General features: G+C 46.2%; 1 protein-coding gene and 1 pseudogene across 1 annotated transcript, besides 4 other annotated features; one reads left to right on the forward strand and one right to left on the reverse strand.

The window, feature by feature from the left end:
* CYP8B1 (cytochrome P450 family 8 subfamily B member 1) lies at positions 1,432-5,119 on the reverse strand. Its single transcript, NM_004391.3, has one exon. The coding sequence runs from the start codon at positions 5,054-5,056 to the stop codon at positions 3,551-3,553; it is 1,506 nt and encodes a 501-aa protein (NP_004382.2). The 5' UTR covers positions 5,057-5,119; the 3' UTR covers positions 1,432-3,550.
* Positions 4,382-4,558: a silencer, noted in NCBI's record as "fragment chr3:42916634-42916810 (GRCh37/hg19 assembly coordinates)". NCBI's record gives its function as "represses an EF-1alpha promoter that drives an FKBP-Casp9 reporter gene in an ReSE screen in HepG2 liver carcinoma cells {active_cell/tissue: HepG2}" and the evidence as "EXISTENCE:reporter gene assay evidence [ECO:0000049][PMID:32094911]".
* Positions 10,217-10,511: an enhancer, noted in NCBI's record as "tiled region #13936; HepG2 Activating DNase unmatched - State 4:PromP, and K562 Activating DNase unmatched - State 1:Tss". NCBI's record gives its function as "activates a minimal TATA promoter and a strong SV40 promoter by Sharpr-MPRA in HepG2 and K562 cells {active_cell/tissue: HepG2 | K562}" and the evidence as "EXISTENCE:reporter gene assay evidence [ECO:0000049][PMID:27701403]".
* Positions 10,550-10,599: a silencer, noted in NCBI's record as "silent region_14252". NCBI's record gives its function as "represses an Ori minimal core promoter by ATAC-STARR-seq in GM12878 lymphoblastoid cells {active_cell/tissue: GM12878}" and the evidence as "EXISTENCE:reporter gene assay evidence [ECO:0000049][PMID:35858748]".
* HNRNPA1P22 (heterogeneous nuclear ribonucleoprotein A1 pseudogene 22) lies at positions 18,521-19,843 on the forward strand (annotated as a pseudogene).
* Positions 18,840-19,340: an enhancer, noted in NCBI's record as "H3K27ac hESC enhancer chr3:42931092-42931592 (GRCh37/hg19 assembly coordinates)". NCBI's record gives its function as "activates a minimal SCP1, AML or CMV promoter by ChIP-STARR-seq in naive H9 embryonic stem cells {active_cell/tissue: H9 hESC(naive)}" and the evidence as "EXISTENCE:reporter gene assay evidence [ECO:0000049][PMID:30033119]".
* Positions 19,844-20,577: the final 734 nt, after the last annotated feature.

A 20,577-nucleotide genomic window follows, 5' to 3' on the forward strand; every position in this document is an offset into this window, starting at 1 on the left:
TGACTCCAGTTAATTCTCTATGAGAAAAGCATCTCTTTTCTTTCCCAGGTGCCTGAAATTCCACCATTGGAAAGCCACCCCGATCTTGCTTTATTATAAACTATCTTCAGAGAGAACGCATTTAGTGGGCTTTCCTCTGAGGTCCTGATGAGGAAAAGGATGAGAGGAAGAAAATATTTGGCATAGAAATGAGGAATTGGGGACAGAATGACCAGGTTGGGTGGGTGGTGACTAGAGGCATCCTTGGCGGTCGCAGTCTTCCTCCTGCCTCAAGGCCTCTGCCAGGGTTGGCTGCAGCAGTCCTCATGCAGGGGGCAGAGAGCTATATGGCCCATGGGCCCCTCCCATGCAAGCAGGCGGGCATGGGGCATTGGGATCCCTGCCCACACTCCAATCCTGGGGGGCTCTTGCTTCCTGGGAGGCCTGTTGTTATGCTGGATATCCCTGACTGTGGGATGGTACACTTGCATTCACCTCACACCTCACCCGCTGAGGCTTCTCTAGGTCCCAAGCATCTCCTCTGGAGCTCTCAGACAGGCCACAGGGTCCATTAAGTTCCTATCTGCACATGGTCACTCTCAGTTGAGACCTTCTGGTCCTGACTCAGGGAACTCCAGCCCTCAGCCTCACCCCAGCCAATCCATAGGCCACTCTCCTGGCCCATATTCCTTTGGGTGTGAGGCACAAAAGGAGACACAGCACCAAGGTCTAGGGAGGGCCAAGGAGGTGTGTTAAGGCTCTGTTCCTGCTTCCCCACAGCCCCAGCCCCATTGTACTGGGCACAGGGCCTGGCTGGGCAGAGATGTCATTGGTACATTTCCCATGGATAGTCTTCCACCTTCCAGCCCATTTCTCCTCCTTCTATGCCCCCTACTCAACTCTTCTCCTTGTGCTCCTGGTCCTTGTAGAATAGGATGGGATATCTCAGCTTCTCCTAACCAGGCAGAGCTCTATCAAGCCCTAGGCAGACATCAGCATTTGCGGGCAGCTGACCTCAGAGAAATGCAGGCCCTGGACCAGGGTCACATAGCTAGTTGGAGACAGACTGTCACCCCAGCTCAGGCCCTTGCCTACTCTCCTGGCAGAGCAGAACAGGCAGCCAGCCTCAGGAGAAATGTGAGGCTGCCAGAGATGTAAGATAAAAGTAGCAGAGAGAAGTTCCACTGGCTGGTCGCTGGGTCGGGGGGTCCATGCAGCCTGGGCCCACCTCCTCCAAGACACTCTATCCAGCTCCCACAGTCATTCTTCCTCCTGTCCCAGCTCCAGCTGGAGCCCTGCCATCAGCCAGCTGCAGCTATGGCAGCCACCCCCTCACCCTCTTGTAGCACTGATAAGCACGCTGGGAAGGGGGATTGTCTTCATTTCATAGATTGGAGGGCTGAGGCCAGGAAATGATTTGAGGACTGAAAGTAAATTAGCCGAGACTGGAAGTCAGGTTTCTAACATTTAATCTCCACTTAGGGAATTGGAGGTCAGAAATGAATAAAATACCATGCCCCAGTAGGCTCCAGTCTAGGGAAGTGGGCAGCAGGCAGAAACCAAGACACAGAAAGCAACGACACATAACAGATATGCTATGATACAAATGGTGCTGCAGGAGCTGCACAGTTCGGAGGCCATTTCTGGCCAGAGGATGGGATGCGTGAAATCCAGGAAGGCTTCCAGGAAGGAGTAGCTGGCACTGGGATGGGCAGGAACAGCAATGTCTCTACTGATGGTTTCATTGGAGAAAGCTGGCAAAGTTGAGAAGTTTGGAGACTAACCGTGACAAAATTTAAACATCAGGTATGTGAAGGCAAGGGGGACCAACTGTGACAAAATGTAAACGTCAAGTGTGTGAAGTCAAAGGGGAACCAGGAAAGTAAAAGAGTGACAATCAGCAGTGCTTTTGGCAAAAAGGCCTCTGGCAGCAGTGTAGAAGAGAAACGCAGAGATCACAGGTATAAGAATGACAGTAGGAGAGGGGAGGAGGGTACATATTTCAGAGGCATCACAGGGGGGTGTACTGATAGGACGGGGGCCTGCTTGTATGAAGGTGAAAGAGGAGGAGGGAGAGTGTCTCTGGGAGATGGGGTGAATGGTAGTGTTCTGAGCAGAGAGAGCAGGGAAATCAGGAGGAGGAGTGGTTCAGGGAAGAGGCAGGGGTTCAGATGCCAAGTTCTGCATTGGCCAAGCTGAGTCAGAGGTGCTGGGAGACTCCCATGTGGGTCTGGGGATAGAAGAAAGCTCTGAGTTCAGCAATGATCATGGAAACCAAGGGAGGGTTGACAGCACCCTGAGGTGGGGGAGACATGGGCACTGAGGAGGGATCTTGAATGATTCCTACATTAAAGACATCCTGACTGGGCACAGTGGCTCATGCCTGTAATCCCAGAACTTTGGGAGGCCGAGGAGGCCGGCCAAAATGGTGAAACGCCGTCTCTACTAAAAATACAGAAACTAGCCGGGTGTGGTGGTGCGCACCTATAATCCCAGCTACTCAGAAGCCTGAGGCAGGAGAATTACTTGAACCCGGGAGGCAGAGGTTGTAGTGAGCCAAGATCACACCACTGCACTGCAGCCTGGGCAACAGAGTGAGACTCTGTCTCAAAAAAAAAAAAAGGTATCATTTCTCTAGACCTGTGCTATCCAATAGGGCAGCCACCTGCCACACACGGCAATTAAGCACTTGGAATGTGGCTAGTCTGAACTGGGAAGAACTGCAAAAGTACAGTACATACCAGACTTTGAAGACAGGATGAAAAAGGGAAGGTAAAAACTATTACGTTAAAATTTTTAATAGTGATCACGTTGAAATGCCAATATTTTGGATATATTGGATTAAGTAAAGTATATTATAAAAATGAATTGTTTCATTTTACTTTTTAAAAATGTGTTTACCAGGAAACTAAATTAGCTGGGCAAGGTGGTAGGTGCCTGTAATCCCAGCTACTGGGGAGGCTGAGGCAGGAGAATTGCTTAAACCCAGGAGGCAGAGGTTGCAGTGAGCAGAGATCGCACCGCTGCACTGCAGCCTCGGCGACAGAGCAAGACTCTGTCTCAAAACAAACAAACAAAACCAAAAAACCCCACTACTCATGTAGCTTGCTTCATATTTATGTTGGATGACACTGTTCTAGAACCTGAATTCCATAGGATGTGGGATAAGTGTTGCTGAAAAAACTAAAGCAAGCTGGGAGAGTGGAGGCTGATGTTTGCAAGATGCCATGTTACTCGTGTCTGGGGGGAACCAGTCTCTGTACTCAGGACTTCTCAAGGCAGGCATCATCTCCCAAACCAAGTTGCCCACAGATACTCCCCCTTCCTCTGGACTTCCTGTGAGAGGAGGGTTCGGCAGAACCCACTCTGAGAGATGGTATTTTAAAGAGAATGATAAGCCTGTCAGATGACTAGGCGGGGAGAGAGCGAGGACAGGCAGAACAGAGGTAGGGGGTGCCACAGGACCAGAGGGAGGGGTGGCCAGTGGGGTCTTGGGGCTGCAGAGGGGTGAGAACAGGTGAGAGATGCAATAGAACTCCTCTGGCCAGGTTTGCAGCTGGCTTGGCCAAGCTCACTCTGTAGGATGCAGGCGGTAGCGGAAGCGCACATCGTGGCTGGGCTGCATGGTGCCAAAACCCCAGCGCTGCGGGTCAACATGGGGTAGTGGTGTGTCAGGGTCCACCAACTCTAAGTCAAAGTGTGTGACCATAAGCAGGATAAAGAGCTTCACCTCACTGAGTGCAAAGAACCTCCCAGGGCAGATGGAAACGCCCGAACCCCAGGGCATGGTGTAGTGGTGGATCTTCTTGCCTGTCTTGAAGAAGTCCACTTTCCGGCTGCCATTAGGGTTGAGGAAGCGATCGTACTTGAAGACGGTGGGCTCAGGGTGGATGTCAGGGTCCATGTGCACTGAGAGGTAGGGAAAGAGGGCCAGGATGTCTCCATGGCGGAACAGATACTCCTGCCCACTGGACATCTTCAGGGTATAGTCTTCATGAACCAACCTGAGGAGGGTGGGTGCAGCCCTCAGCCGCAGCGTCTCCTCCACCACGCTGTCTAGAACTGGGGTGTGTTGCAGGGCACCGAGTTTGAAGGCAAAGGACTGCTTGGTCTCCAGCCTGGCCTCACCCAGGACCTGGGTAGCTTCCTCCCTCACAGCCCGAATAGCTTCTGGGTGCTTCAGGAGGTACAAGAGGGCCCAGAAAGAGGTAGGCCCCGTGTTCCCCTGGGAGGCCCAGAGCATCATGAAGTTGAACTTGTCCTGCATAGCTGAGGGTACCCCCTGCTCCCTCAGAAACTGAAGCATGTTGCCCAGCCAGTTGCTGATGCCCTCCTTCTCCTGGCTGTGGCTCACGGAGAGCATCTTGTGAAAGAGACGCTGGAGTCGGCCCACTTCTAGCCACTCCCGGGGCCACAGCAGGGAGTAGACAAACCTTGGGAAAAGAAGGTCAAACTTGCGGAACTCCATGAATAACTCTCCTGCCTGTAGCAGGTCCTGCTCCTTGTCCTTCGTGTAGCCGAACAAGCTCAGGTAGCCAGCTGTGAACAAGATGTAATAGCAGAAGCGAAAGAGGCTGTCCTCATGCCAGCAACTGGCATCCAGACTCCAGCCTTTGGACGTCAGCATTACAAAGGACAGGCTGTCCAGCATGGTCTCATTAAGATCCTTCAAGCCATCCCCCCTCAGATGCTTGGTGCTGGCTGAGTGTATCATCTCATGGTCCCCTTGCACTGAACGGTATCCAAATACCTTCAGCACCAGTTTTTTTGCATATTGCCCAAAGTCTAGTTTTCTCTGTGTGTCCTTGAGGATGGAGCCAAAGGAGAGGGGGTCCATGACGAAGGTGAAGTACTGGCCCCCTAGCTGCACTGTGAACACATCCCCATGCTTGGTCCTCATGCGCTTCAGAAATTCAAACATATTCTTCCGGAAAGCCATGGCATGGCCAAGCCAGGGCACGGTACCCTTGTCCAGAGGGGGCTCCCATGGCCTGCGTTGTCGGAGCATCCCTGGCAGGCACAGGTATCCAGCAATGACCACCAGCAGAGCTCCCAGCACTGGACCCCAGAGAACCATGGCTATGCTCCTGCGGATTAAGCTCTCGACACGCACACTGTTCCCTGGGTGCCAGAGAGCTTTGGGAGGCCTTGGAAAGTCCAGGATGTAAAGGTCTGAGCACCTGGACCTTGCCCTGTGGCCGCAAGTTATGGCAAATAACACTAGTGAGACAGTACTTGGAAGCAGCAAAATGTTCCCCTGGACTTAACACTTGGCTGACTGGTCACGTAGGGGAGGAGGAGGTAACCAGGAGAAAGCTCAGAGAGAAGCTTCCAGCTATGGTCACAGCTGCTCACCAGCTTCATGCTTTGCTCTGACCTTTTCAGACAGCTCTTGCACCTTCTCTCTAAGCCTGCCTTGAGCCCACTCCCACCCCCATAGCTGACAGACTATTTATACCCCCATTTACTCATGCTTTTATTTATTTGCCAGTTCAGTTGGTAGAAATGAATCAAGCACTTACAAAATCTCACTTCCACTCTTTCCTCATCTTTAGAAGACTCAACAAATGCCTCCATTCCTACTTGGCCCCCTTGGTCAAGTAAGTTAACCTCACTGTGGCTCCACTCCCTCATCTGTGAAGTAGGGATAATTACAGTGCCTTGTAGGTGCTGTTGTGAGGCAAAAAGAGATAACACCTGAAAAGCACTTAGAATAGTGCCTGGCTCATGCTAGTGCTCCATATATGTTAGTTAGTATCCTAAAGCCTTTTCTCTTACCTTTGCCTGCTCCCCTGGACCTCACAGCAGCCCGTGCTTATCTCCTCATTCTTTCCCTAGTCTGTCTTCCTCTCTGGTCTCAAAGATGCTTGCCAAGGGGGCATGACCTTGTTGAAGTCATGTCTGCTCCTACCTCCATGTGCACAGAGTACACAGTCAAAGGCAAGTGAAGAATGACTGTATGCCCTTCCACAACAGCTCTGACCCCTAACCCAAAAAAAGAGGCATTGATGCTGGGGCTTTAGATGCTGAGAAGGCTGAGATGGTGGAGGGGGTGTTGACTCCATCTTGGGGTATGAGTGTGAATGAACTCATCTGAGGAGGCCACAGAGCCTCCCAGATGATGACTCTTCAAGCAGAGGCTGAGCCCTCAGTCTCTGAGCCTCTCACCCGGAGCCCTCTCACCTGCCCAACTGCTTGCCTATACACTTCTCTGACAAGAAGGCAGAATCCTGGAATTGTAAAATGTCAGAGACAATAGAGACCTCACTCAATCACTTCATACTTCATTTCACAATGAGGATCTAGGTGCAGAACGCAGTGGGGACCCTCTTTGACAGCTGCCCTGGCTTGGGGCCTTGAGATAAGCTAATCATTGACTAAGGGCCTTCTGAGACATGTCAGCCCAGGTCCCTGCCAGCAGCTCAAGAGGGAGAAAACTGTACCATTGACGCCAAGGCATTAGTCAAGCAGCCTGGCCCATTGTTGCTATAGGTGAGGTTCAAACTCAATTCAATCAGTTCTGATAACCTCCAAATTACTTTTTAACTTCCTAACGACCTGAGAACAGGGACTTCGGCTCTTCAGACAAAAGAGGGTATGGAACTTCCATATCCCCTCTGGAGTGAGCTTCCTTTGCCTATGAGCTTCCCCTTGGCAGGGAGTTGGAACTGTCCACACTCTGCTTCCCAGAATCCCTCTTTAATTGTTCAGGACCACCACAGTACTTGGCATCATCAACTCTCCTCAACCTTAGAATTCGGTCTGAAACTGGGCCAAATCCAATGAACTGAACCGTGTCCCCTAGTTTTTAATGGATGAACCATTATTTCACATTCATTCTTACCTCATTCATTAACCCACACTCATCTATTCATTCCCTCCTTCCTTGGAGAAGCCCCATCTATCCATTCACTAGATATTTATTGGGCACTTACTGGCAGAAATGTTGCTACGATCTGGGATTATAATCATGAATGAGATAGACACAGTCCCTGCTCTCTTGCAGTTTATGGTCTAATGGAGGGAGAAAGATATTAAATCACTGCCCAAAGTAATTATACACATATTTCTCATTTAATGTGCTTTGCTTTATTGCACTTCACAGATACTATGTTTTTTACAAATTGAAGGTTTGTGGCAACCCTGCATTGAGGAAAACTATTGGCACCATTTTTCCAACAGTGTGTGCTAACTTTGTGTCTCTGTGTCACATTTTGTAATTCTCACAATATTTCAAATTTTTTCATTATTATCATTACAGCTGTTATGGCGATCTGTGATATGTTAGTACTGTAATTGTTTTGGGGCACCATGAACTGGGCCCATATATGATGCAAACTTAATTGGTAAATGTTGTGTGTATTCTGACTGTTCCACTGACCAGCTGTTCTCCCCTCTTTCTATCTCTCCTTGGGCTTTCCTGTTTCCCAAGACACAGCTATTTTGAAATTAGGCCAATTAATAACCCTACAATGGCATCTAAGTGTTCAAGTGTAAGGAAGAGCTGCGCTTTAAATCACTTTAAATTTCACTTTAAATCACAAGCCAGAAATGATTAAGCTTAGTGAGGAAGGCCAAGATAGGCTGCAATCTAGGTTTGTTGCACTACACAGTTATCCAAGTTGTAAATGCAAAAGAAAAAATTTCTTGAAGGAAATTAGAAGTGCTACTCTAGTGAATACATGAATAATAAGAAAAACAGCTTTATTGCTGATATGAAGAAAGTTTTAGTGGCCTGCATAGATCAAACCAGCTACAACATTCCCTTAGCCAAAGCCTAATCCAGAGCAATGTTTTAACTCTCTTCAATTCTATGAAGGCTGAAAGTGATGAGGAAGCAGTTGGAGAAAAGTTTGAAGGTAGCATAGGTTGGTTCATTAGGTTTAAGGAAAGAAGCCATCTCTATAACATAGAAGTGCAACGTGAAGCAGCAAGTGTTGATGAAGAAGTTGCAGCAAGTTATCTAAAAGATGTAGCTAAGATAATTGATGAAGATGGCTACACTAAGCAACAGATTTTTAATGTAGATGAAACGGCCTTATATTGGAAGAAGAGACCATCTAAGGACTTTCCTAGAGCAAAGTCAATGCCCTGCTTCAAAGCCTCTAAGGGTAGGATGACTCTCTTTTTAGGAGCTAAGGTAGCTGGTGACTTTCAGTTGAAGCCAAAGCTCACGACCATTCTGAAAATCCTAGGGCCCTTCAGAATTATGCTAAATCTACTCTGCCTGTACTCTATAAGTAGCAAGGCTAGGTGTGGTGGCTCGCGCCTGCAATCCCAGCAATTTTGAAGGCTAAGGCAAGTGGATTGCTTGAGCCCAGAGCTTGGAGCCCAGCCTGGGTAACATGGTGAAACCCTGTCTCTACAAAAATTAGCCAGGTATGGTGGTGCATGCCTGTGGTCCCAGCTACTTGGGAGGCTGAGGTGGGAGGATCACCTGAGCCTGGGAGGTTGAGGCTGCAGTGAGCCAAGATCATGTCACTGTACTTCAGCCTGGACGACAGAGTGAGACCCTGTCTCAAAACAAACAAAACAAAGCCTGGATGGCAGCTCATCTGTTTGCAGCATGGTTTACTTAGGCCCACTGCTGAGACTTACTGCTCACAAAAAAGATTCTTTTCAATGTATTACTACTCATTAACAATGCACCTGAGATCTCTGAGGAAGATGTTCGAAGAGATGAATGTTGTTTTCATGCCTGCTAACACAACATCCATTCTGCAACCCATGGATCAAGGAGTAATTTCAACTTTTCAGTCTTAGTATTCAGAAATACATTTCGTAAGGCTATAGCTGCTGTAGATGGCGATTCCTCTAATGGATCTGGGCAAAGTAAATTGAAAACCTTATGGAAAGAACTCACCATTTTAGAGCCACTAAGAACAATTGTGATTCATGGGAGGAGGTTAACATATCAACATGAACAAGAGTTTGAAAGAAGTTGATTCCAACCCTCATGAATGACTTTGAGGGGTTCAAGGCTTCAGTGGAGGAAGTCGCTGCAGATGGGTGGAAATAGAGAATTAGAATTAGAAGTAGTGCCAGAGGATGTGACTGAATTGCTGCAATCGCCTGATTGAACTTGAATGGATGAGGAGTAACTTCTTACGGATGAGCTAAGAAAGTGGTTTCTTGAGATGGAAACTAATCCTGGCGAGGATGCTGGGAACACTGTTGAAATGACAATAAAGAATTTAGAATATTACATAAAGTTAGTAAAGCAGCAGTAGAGTTTGAGAGCATTGACTCCAATTTTGAAAAAAAGTTCTATTGTGGGTAAAATGCTATCAAACAGCATTCCATGCTACAGAGAAATCTTTCCTAAAAGGAAGAGTCAACTGGTGCGGCAACCTTGATTGTTGTCTTATTTTAAGAAATTGTCACAGCCACCCCAGCCCTCAGCAACCACCACCCTGATCAGTCCAGGGTGAAGACAGGAATCACTGAAGGCTCAGATGATCATTAGCATTTTTTAGCAATAAAGTTTTTTTTAAAAATTAAGGTATATATATGTATTTTAGATATAATGCTTTTGCACACTTAATGGTGTATAGTCTAAACATAATTTTTATATTCCCCGGAAACAAAATTCGTGCGACTCATTTTACTATGGAGGTTTGAAACCCAACCCGCAATATCTTCGCGGTATGGCTGTAATTGTGACAAATGCTGCAAAGAAGAGCAGAGCATGAAGGGAGGTGGCAGTCAGGAAGGCCACACTGATTGGGCCACACTGATTCAGCGGAGGCCTGGAGGACCACAAGACCCAGTCAATGTGTGTTGTGTGTGGTGGAGGTGCTAGCGGCCGAAGAGGGGTGCTGGTCAGGGGATGCAGCAGGGTGGTCCCAAGGTACCGAGAGCATATCCACCCTGGGGCCAATGAGCCCAGGGCACTCGGAGAAGGGGGAAGAATCTCCACAGGGTGCAGAACCGGCAGGCTCTGTGCGGGTTAGGACTTTGACACATCGGTGGCACTGAACCCCTCTCACGCCAGCCGGCCCAGCCACGCTTGTGTCCGGGGCCAGCCCACGGGGGCCACGCAGGGCTGCCGGATGGACAGGCAGGGAATACGGGCTCTTCCTCGGGAGGAGACTGGCTTGCCCCTGGGAAGTCAGCCCACGGGACTGCCCTCCTCTCCCTCCCGAGGGGCTGGGGACCAGCAACTCAAGCCAACACCGGGAGCGGGCGGCACGTCCCCTCCTCGCCCCTTCGGTCCGGGAACTGTCAGGGGCCGGGGCGGGGTTACGATGGTGGGCTAGGGGGCCAGGTAGGACCAAAGACACACGGAGGCGGCCTCCGGGACAGCCAGAGGGCCCGCGGGCGCTCGGGAAAGGGGCGGGTGCACTTCCGGCCCCCGAAGCCTCAGCGAGGGAGTCTCCGGGAGGCGCGGCGGGGAGTAGGCAGTGTGTTGCTGACCTCTGGCGGTCGCTCTGCGGCACTTCGCACCTTCTTTGTGCTCAGGAGCGGTGAGTGTCAGTTCGGCGGCTGAGCCCCCAGTAAGGGCGTGGTTCCGGGCCAACGGGAGGACGTGCTGATGGCGCTGCTTTCTTCCTTCCCCACCGCAGCTGTTTCCGACTCGCGCGCTGAACCCACCACTACCCCTCGGCCCACGCCCCTGGCAGTTTTCACGGCATAAGCCCGGCAAGAGCATCATTTTGGTTGTCCTGGGGGGTTTTGGGGGTTAGCTCCTTTATTGCTAACCTCATTTGCACATTCCATGGTGGGCAGGACAGTGGATTGAGTTTTTTACACTGGGCCCTAGTAGTTCCATGTTCCTGTCTGATGTCATGACTTCTCATTCTATATATGGCCCAGAATTTTGAGCAACTGGGCACTGACCTGAGGATTCTATTTATCTGCTGTGGTTCCTTTACTGGGGTTCTCCGCTGTGGGTTCTCTAGTCCGGATGCACTAGCTCTTCCCTGAGTCTTGTTTGCCCCTTTTTCTAATTCTGGATGATATTGACTGCTCCCCCAGTATGTGCCACCTCTTGCTCACTGCCTCGCCCCCAGCAGTAAGTAGTACCATTGAAATGGAAATACAGGGGAGAAATTATTTCACCCTGCCTTTAGAGCAGGTAATAATCGTTTCACTTAGGGCTTATGTATGGCTCCTTTTTGTTTCTTTCTAGCTTTCCAGGTTCCTTCTGTTTTTCCTGGAGGGGAAGGAACCCCCTCCATGGCAGCCTGGGTTCTTGACAGCCTGACTCAAGGGTCACTATGCTTACTGCTAGCCTGAATCACATATACCAGGTTGTCGTAGAACCAGTGTAGGACATAAAAGGCAAACCTGGGTTCTTGTCCCAACTTTTCCACCAATTTATGGCATGACCCAGAACATTTTGTTTTACCCTTCTGGACCTTTATTCTGATGTGTCAAAATAAGAGGTACTGAATTTGACGTACTCGCCAGCAGTGAGATGCTATTATAAAGGTATTGGGTTGTACATTCACTAATTTGCCAAGAGATAACGAGGGCATATAGTGTGAGAGGGTGGAGGGATAGGGTGGGAATTGGAATGATTGGCATTGAGCTTCTAGCCAGGGGATGGCTCTATGCTGATCATTTCCATCGCCACCAACACCATCACCATTCTTATTTTGAGAACTTACCTTGAGCTAATATTACACGAAATTCACGTATTTTGCCATCTAACCCTTATATCAACCCGGTTCAGAGATTCCGTAGAAGAACTCACAGGACTCAGAATACAGTTGTAATCATGACTAAGATTGATTACAACTGGATTGCTGGTCCCTAGCCCCTTGGGAGGGTGGGGAGGGCAGCCACGTGGGCTGAATTCCCACGGGCAAGCCAGCCTCTGCCTGAGGAAGAGCCAGAATTCTCTGCCTGTCCATCTGATGGGATACATAACCAGATCATAAGGGAAAAAGACATAGGTGGAGTCTGGAGGAATCTATGTGCAGGATTCCGAGTTCTTTCTCCCTGCCAGGAGAGATCACACAAAGCTTACTCCTCCTAGCAATGGAAACGCAGCAACATATGTGCCATGTTTCTAACTAGGGAAGCTCAAAAATTAGTCAGTGCCCAAGGTTTTTATCGGGGGACTGGTCATGTAGGCACCTTCTGCCTAGCACATACCAAAATTCCAGACTCCTAGAAGGAAAGCAGATATTCATTATAAATCATGTTTGTACAAATAGTCAAGGCATAACGAACTACTCTTATTGGTTAAGTGTTGACTGGACGCACTTTGAAAGTGAAGTTCCCAGACACTAGCCAGGGGCCTACCTTGCAAGCAGGCCTTTTTTTGGGTCTCTGACTTGCTATGTTAGTGATTTTATGCACCCAACCATATGAAGCAAAAATGCCCTCATTTTACAGAGGAGAAAATTGAGATTTCAAGGGCTGGTAACTTGTCTAGAGTTGCACAACTAGCAAGTGGTACAACCAAGAGTCTAATCACTCTGTTTACTTCAGAACTTCAGCTCTTCATCCGCTGCCATATTGCCAGTCCCAGGGCCTTCCTCAAGTCCTTTGTCTTTGTTCTTTCTGCCTGAAATGTTCTTTCCTTAGCTATTTGCATGACTGGTGATATGGTTTGGCTGTGTCCTCACCCAAATCTCATCTTGAATTGTAGCTCCCATAATTCCCACCTGTTGTAGGAGGGACCCAGTGGGAGATAATTGAATCATGGGGGCGGTTTCCCCATACTGTTCTCGTGGTAGTGAGTAATTCTCATGAGATCTGATGATTTTGTACTGGGAAACCCCTTTTGCTTGGTTCTCATTCTCTCATCTGCCACCATGTAAGACATGCCTTTCGCCTTCTGTCATGATTGTGAGGCCTCCCCAGCCACGTGGAACTGTGAGTCCATTAAACCTCTTTTTCTTTATAAATTACCCAGTCTCGGGTATGTCTTTATCAGCACTGTGAAAATGGACTAATACAACTGGTTTATTTTATTTATTCATTTTTTAAGAGATAAGATCTCACTATGTTGTCCAGGCTGGCCTCCAACTCTTGGCCTCAGGCAATCTGCCTGCCTCAGCCTCCCAAGTAGGTGGGACTACAGGGATGTGCTGTATGCCTCGCTTGGTTTCTTTCAATTATTCACTGCCTCAACTCAGATTACACCTTATAGAAAGGCCCTCCCTGACTACTCTATGTAAAGTAGTCTCTTTTTAAAGTACTTTGTATCATTAACCTATTTTAGTTTCATCAAAACATTTATAATTATGTGAAATGATCTAGTGTCTTTCTTTATTCTCTATATCAATTTTCATCCAGTCGCAGTGGCTCACACCTGAAATCTCAGCACTTTGGGAAGCTGAGGCGGGCTGATCACCTGAAGTCAGGAGGAGTTTGAGACCAGCTTGGCCAACATGGTGAAACCTGTCTCTACTGAAAATACAAAAATTAGCCGGGTGTGGTGGCGCATCCTGTAATCCCAGCTACATGGGAGGCTGAGGCAGGAGAATCACTTGAACCTGGGAGGCAGAAGTTGCAGTTAGCTGAGATCGCACCACTGCACTCCATTCTAGCCTGGGTGGCAGAGGAAAACTCTGTCTCAAAATAAAATAAAATAAAATAAAATAAAATAAAATAAAATAAAATAAAATAAAATAAAAAGAAAAAGTCAATCTTCCTCAGTGGTGTGCTGGTAAATTGGCACTGTAAGAAAAAAAAGTCTTGATTGGTAGAGTTGGCCAGTTTCATATTGTAAATACATTGCCCCTGGCCAATTTCAGGCACCCATATAAGGTCACTGAAGGAGGAGTTGGAAAGAGATGTGCATCGTCAGCATGGAGTCCTGATAAGTAAGCAACAATGAGGAAGGGACCTTAGGTAGGGGAGAACCCCAGGTGGGGAAGAACAATGAACAGTTGTTCTGAGAGATGGCTAATCACAAATAACCTGTGGGCACAATGACTTGTCCTGTCCGCAAGTGGCCCCAAGAGCAGAACCTTATAAAACTTCCCTCCAGCCCCTGCCTCATTGTAGACAGCCCATTTCCTGCTGTGCTGCCTGTTGCAACTTTGCAACATATTTTTATACTTTCTGTAATAAATCTGTCTTTCTTTACCTACAGCTGTCTTGGTAAATTCCTTTACCACCTGCACCACCAGCCCCAGATAGTTGCTACCTGTGATAATCAGCTTTCCTGAGTCAGTGTGTGCTGGCACCACAATAAACTCTTTAAAATCAAGGACTATGTCTTGTCCATTGCTGTATCCTCAAGACCTAGCACATTGCCTGGCACATAGTAAATACTCTATAAATGTTTGTTGAATGGACGAATAATTCTCCAATTCCATCTCTGATTACTGTTGCAGGCATTCAGTCTTATTTTAGAGATGAGAACAATGGGGCTCAGAGTGTGAGGAACTCTCCCTTGGGCACACATTTATTAAGTGGTAGAGCCAAACATTTAATACAGCCAGTTTGTGCCAGCTTTACTGCTAAGTGGGTCAGAGAAACCTAAAATGGGAGAAATTGGAGCTAGAGAAACAAGTTGTCCATATACAGTTCCATAGTTCATAGCAACAAATAATTTATTGCAGGCTTAAGCATATGCAAGGTAGTATCTTAGTCTCAGGGAGACAAAGATTGATTGGATTTTTAAATCATCCTTCAAGGATCTCACTGATTAAATGGGATAAGCACGTAATATCAAATGTACAATACTAAAGCAGTATGAGCCAAATGCCAATGGATTCTGAGAGCAGTGTCACATTTTGTTGGGGGAAAGGGAATAGGGTCAGAAAGGGGTTTATAAAAATAAGCCATTTGAGTTGGGCTAATAAGAATATATAGGGTCAGGTTGTGAATGGAAAGGTAAGGTATTTCAGGCAAACGCTGATGAGGATTTTTTGCTCCTTAGTTCAGCTAAAATCTGGTTTCTGGTCTCACGACTGGGAAAAATTAGGCACATGGACACATTGAAAGGTGAGGAGAGTGGAATTTATTGATAAGAAGCTCAGAGAAAAAAAAGAGGGTCTTGCCAACAGGCTCCCACCTCACAGATTGAATACCAGGCCACCACACACCAGCTGAAGAGGCCAGGCTTCTCCCCACCGCATAAGGTGTGAATTCCCGGTGGCTACACCCCAGTCTCCCAGTGCACAGGTGGGCCCTTAGTCTGAGCCACTCCACATTGATTTATTTCCCTTACTGCACATGTGTTAAGGGACAGAATTCTTCGCTGTGGGCATGTTAGGCAAGCCCCCTGTGCACAATGACCTGAGCAGCATTTGGCTGTCTCATTTCTATCAACTCTGTGGAGAAAGGCATCTAAAGAGGTGGTGAGATGTGCTTGAAGAAGAAAGTCCAGTTCATCTGATATGTCAATGCAGGTACAACTCAGGCAGGCCTGAAGACTATAACTCTAATGAACATGCTATCCAGGAAACTAACCTTCAATCCACATGCACACCAAACCCTCAAGAAAATTAGAGTTGTTAGTAGTTACAGTAGTCCTGCCTTGTCTGCAGGGGATACATCCCAAGATCCCCAGTGGATGCCTAAAACCATGAATAGTACTGAACTCTATATATACTATATTTTTTTCTGTACATATACATATATATCTATGATAAAGTTTAACTTATAAATTAGGCACAGTAAGAGATCCACAACAATAATTCATAATAAAAGAGAACAATTATAACAATAAGTTGTAATACAAGCTATGTGAATGTGGTCTCGTTCTAAAACTATTTTATTGTACTGTACTCACCCTTCTTATTGTGATCTGTCAATGTGATAACTGTCATGGCTACCAAGTGACTAATGGTCAGGTAGTATATACAGTGTGGATATGCTAGACAAAGGGATAATTCATGTCCTGGGTGGTGTGAAAGGAAAATAACAACTTGGGACCCCAATTCACTATGCTGAAAGGAAAAAGTCAAGCTAAAAGCTGAGTCATGCAAGAAGTTGCCTTTCCTTTTGTTCCTAAGCAGATAGTTACAGATAAAAGGTAAAAAATCTCCACAGGTAGCTACTCTATGTTCACCTTATCTTATGTAACCTGCAGATTTACTTAGCATGAGATGAATACATAATTAAATATTCCCCTACCTGCTCCTTTTCTCTTACATGTGGATTCAGTAATGACCATAACCTCTGTCTTTCCCCTGCAGCCTGCTTTTCCCTTTTAAATATTGAAGACTTCAACATCATCTTTGGAAAAAGACACATACCTGTCTCCTGGGTTATGTCCTTAACCTTGGCAAAATAAACTTCAAAATTGATTAAGTCCTTTCTCAGATACTTTTGGTGTACAGTGGGATGGAGCAGAGTGGTGTGAAATTTTATAATACTACTCAGAACAGCGTGCAACTTAAAACATGAATTATTTTTGGAATTTTCCATTTAATATTTTCAGGCCATGGCTGATTGTGGGTAACTGAAACCACAAAAAGTGAAATTGCAGGTACGAGGGGACCAATGCATTTGCAAGTGTAAATGATGTGATCTTAATGCCATAGTTTCTAGAGTAGCTTGGAGAGTCTAAGTCCCCCCACCCCCTGCAACCCAAGGCAAGGAGAACTTTGTAAAATACTTGGTTGAACTTCCACTGCATTCCACTGCAATCAAGCAGTATCTTTAGCAATCATGCACCTTCATGGGGAATTTGAGGGCCAGGAAAGCATGACTTTCCATGAAGAGATTGGATTAGTATCCTTTGTCCATGTGTGATGTTACCTTCCTGTCGATCGCTATCATCCTTGTGACAGTTGTGCAGTAGGATCTGGCAAACAGTTGGAAAGATGGCTTGGTGCCTATTCTGGGGTGTCTTGAATTCACCTGAGGCATGGATCTCATTTGACAGGCGGTGGAGAACTACTGAGGACTTCTGAGCAGAGAGGTTGGTGGAAGAGGAAGCACCAAAAATCCATCTCATCACCTAGAGAGCATTGTACTGGCAGAACTGTCTAAAGTGACTATTTTGGAACTCTGGGATCAATTTGAATACTTGCAGCTTCCAAAGGAAAGGTTGGTTGGTAAATTGTGGCTAATATTGGTTGATTTCAGCTTGTATTGGATACCCACCCATAAGTCCCATGGCAGGCAGCCATGACATGTTTCTGACATGGCTTGCTGAAGCCAGAGTGGGAAATTAGGACTTTGTCCTCCAGATATTGGGGCTCTGTGTTATAATTGCTGATAGCTGCTTCTTATCAATGAGGTGTAGCTACAGAGGCTGGCTGCCATTGGTTCACCTCCATTGGCTGAAGCAGTCTCTAGGGCATTAAAACATTAAAAGGAGCTGCACCTTTGGGTTTTTTGTTTGTTTGTTTTGTTTTGTTTTTTTTTGATGGAGTCTCGCTCTGTTGCTCAGGCTGGAGTGCAGTGGTGTGACCTCGTCTCATTGCAACCTCCGCCTCCCGGGTTCAGGCGATTCTCCTGCCTCAGCCTCCTGAGTAGCTGGGACTACAGGCATGTACCACCATGCCAGGCTAATTTTTTGTATTTTTACTACAGATGGGGTTTCACCGTGTTAGCCAGGATGGTCTCGATCTCCTGACCTCGTGATCCACCTGCCTCGGCCTCCCAAAGTGCTGGGATTACAGGCATGAGCCACCTCTCCGCCTGTTTTGTTTTTTTTTACATTCAAAAACAACTGTGTGTATGGGGGAATTTAGAAGCCATGTGTGCATACCCAGGGAAAGACATAGGTTCAGAAAAGACCTTAAACTTTCACCTCAGGATGATCCCTAGCACAGACACTCTAAAATATTTCTTAAAAGTCAAACCCTGGGATAAGTGGGATAATATTATTTCCAGAATTATCACAATGTAAAATTCAAATGTCCAGTTTCTACAAAAAAAATCACAAGGCATACAAAGAAACAATAAAGTATGGCTCATTCAAAGGAATAAAAGAAATCAATAAGAAATGTTCTTGAGGAAGCCCAGATAGTGGACTTCATAGACAAAGACTTTAGAATGACTGTCTTAACCCATTTCTCGTTTAGAAAAAAATTGCAGCTCGCCGCCAGTACTCATTTAATTTTACATAAACACACTCTTTGAGGCTGAAGCAAATCAGACTGATCTTCAATGTGAAAATAAAGTATAAAAACTGTTCTTGGAGTTATTTCCAAACAGAACTTTTTTCTAATCCTAATGTAACAGAAATGTATATGATGACAGTATTTAATAAGTGGGCAGAATTTGGGGGTAAGGTTAGGACTGTAATCCATGAGTTATTGTGGTGTATTCACTGCACTGCAAGGGCCACTGGGGAATATTTTCACGGCAAATGGGAAATGGGTTAAAGATACTCAAAGAGCTAAAGGTAATCATGGACAAAGAGGAAAACAATGTACGAATTAGAATCAGAATATCAATAGAGATAGAAATGATAAGGAGAAACCTAAAGGAAACTCTGGAGCTGAAAAGTATCATAACAAAAAGGGAAAATACACTGGGATGGGGGTGGGGGTGGTTAAAAGCAGATTTGAGCAAGTAAAATAAAGAATCTGCAAACTTAAAGATAGGATGATTGAAATTATTGAACTGGAGGAACAGAAAGAAAAAAGGATGAAGAAAAGTGAACAGAGAGGCTGGCAGATAAATTCATCAGCTTGTTCCTTTGCCTGTGGACACTGCCGAAGAAGCATCATTAAAGTCTCTTTTCTCCCTGCCATCATGTCTAAGTCAGAGTCTCCTAAAGGGCCCGAACAGCTGAGGAAGCTCTTCATTGGAGGGTAGAGCTTTGAAACAACTGATGAGAGCCTGAGGAGCCATTTTGAGCAATAGGGAATGCTCACAAACTGCATGGTAATGAGAGATCCAAACACCAAGCGCTCCAGGGGCTTTGGGTTTGTGACATGTGCCACTGTGGAGGAGGTGGATGCAGCCATGAATGCAAGGCCATGCAAGGTGGTTGGAAGAACTGTGGAACCAAAGAGAGCTGTCTCAAGAGAAGATTCTCAAAGACCAGGTGCCCACTTGACTGTGAAAAAAATATTTGTGTCCTTAAAGAAGACACTGAAGAACTTCACCTAAGAGATTATTTTGAACAGTATGGGAAAATTGAAGTGATTGAAATCATGACTGACCAAGGCAGTGGCAAGAAAAGGGGCTTTGCCTTTGTAACCTTTGACAACCATGACTCCATGGATAAGACTGTCATTCAGAAATACCATACTGTGAATGGCCACAACTGTGAAGCTAGGAAAGCCCTGTCAAAGCAAGAGATGGCTCGTGCTTCATCCAGCCAAAGAGGTCGAAGTGGTTCTGGAAACTTTGGTGGTGGTCGTGGAGGTGGTTTTGGTGGGAATGACAACTTTGGTCGTGGAGGAAACTTCAGTGGTCATGGTGGATTTGGTGGCAGCCATGGTGGTGGTGGATATGGTGGCAGGGGGATGGCTATAATGGATTTGGTAATGATGGAGGTGGTGGAAGCTACAATGATTTTGTCAATTACAACAATCAGTCTTCACATTTTGGACCCATGAAGGGAGGAAACTTTGGAGGCAGAAGCTCTGGCCCCTATGGTGGTGGAGGCCAATACTTTGCCAAACCACAAAACCAAGGTGGCTATGGCGGTTCCAGTAGCAGCAGTAGATATGTCAGTGGCAGAAGATTTTAATTAGGAAACAAAGCTTAGTAAGACAGAGGAGCCAGAGAAGTGATGGAAGCTACAGGTTACAACAGATTTGTGAACTCAGCCAAGCATGGTGATGGCAGGGCTTAGCTGCTACAAAGAAGACATGTTTTAGACAAATGCTCATGTGTATGGGCAAAAAGCTTGAGGAGTGTATTTGTGAATAATTGCATAACAGGTTATTTTAGTTTCTGTTCTGTGGAAAGTGTAAAGCATTCCAACAAAGGGTTTTAATGTAGTTTTATTTTTTGCACCCATGATATTGATTGCTAAATGCAATAGCCTAATGGTGATGCTGAATAAATGTCTTAAATTAAAAAAAAAAAAAAGGAAAAGTGAACAGAGCCTAAGGGACCCAGGGGACACTATCAAGCAGACAAACATATGCATAATGTGAATACCAGAAGGAAAGAGAGAAAGAAAGAGGCAGAAAGACTAGTTGAAGAAATGTTCCCAGACCAAACTGAGGGTCGGGCTGCTATTTCTCGCTGCCCAATAACAAGATGCAAATGAACTGGGGAGAAAGAGAGTTTTTTTATTTCTGTAACCGGTTACAGGGAGAAGGCCTGGAAATTATTGCCAGACCAACTCAAAATTACAAAGTTTTCCAAAGCTTATATACCTTCTAAGCTATATGTCTACGTGTAAGTGTGCATTCATCTAAAGACATAAGTGATTAGCTTCTTTTAATCTATAACTAAGGTCTGAGTCTTGAAGACCTTCCTCTGGAGCCTCAGTAAATTTACTTAATCTAAATGGGTCCAGGTGCTGGAGGTAATTACCCTTATCTGGTCTCCTGCTAAATCGCAGAGGTTTGGGGAGTTCCTTCAGATCCCCGGTAAAACTTTTTTAATTCTAAATGGGTCCTATTAAGAATTCCTTTGTTATTTTGTAATGCTTTAAGGCCCAGGAAAGGCCTAGGCAAAACCCTTGGTGGGCATTTCTTACATTCCAGCCTTTGTATAAAGGGCATTGGCTGTTTCAGCTTTGAATATTTAACTTAACCACTTAGTACT

Source organism: Homo sapiens, chromosome 3 (genome assembly GCF_000001405.40).
Source record: "Homo sapiens chromosome 3, GRCh38.p14 Primary Assembly".
Taxonomy (NCBI): domain Eukaryota; kingdom Metazoa; phylum Chordata; class Mammalia; order Primates; family Hominidae; genus Homo; species Homo sapiens.

Excerpts from the sequence above, each read along its gene's own strand:
- CYP8B1 (NM_004391.3), bottom strand. The coding sequence starts at position 5,056 with ATGGTTCTCTGGGGTCCAGTGCTGGGAGCTCTGCTGGTGGTCATTGCT.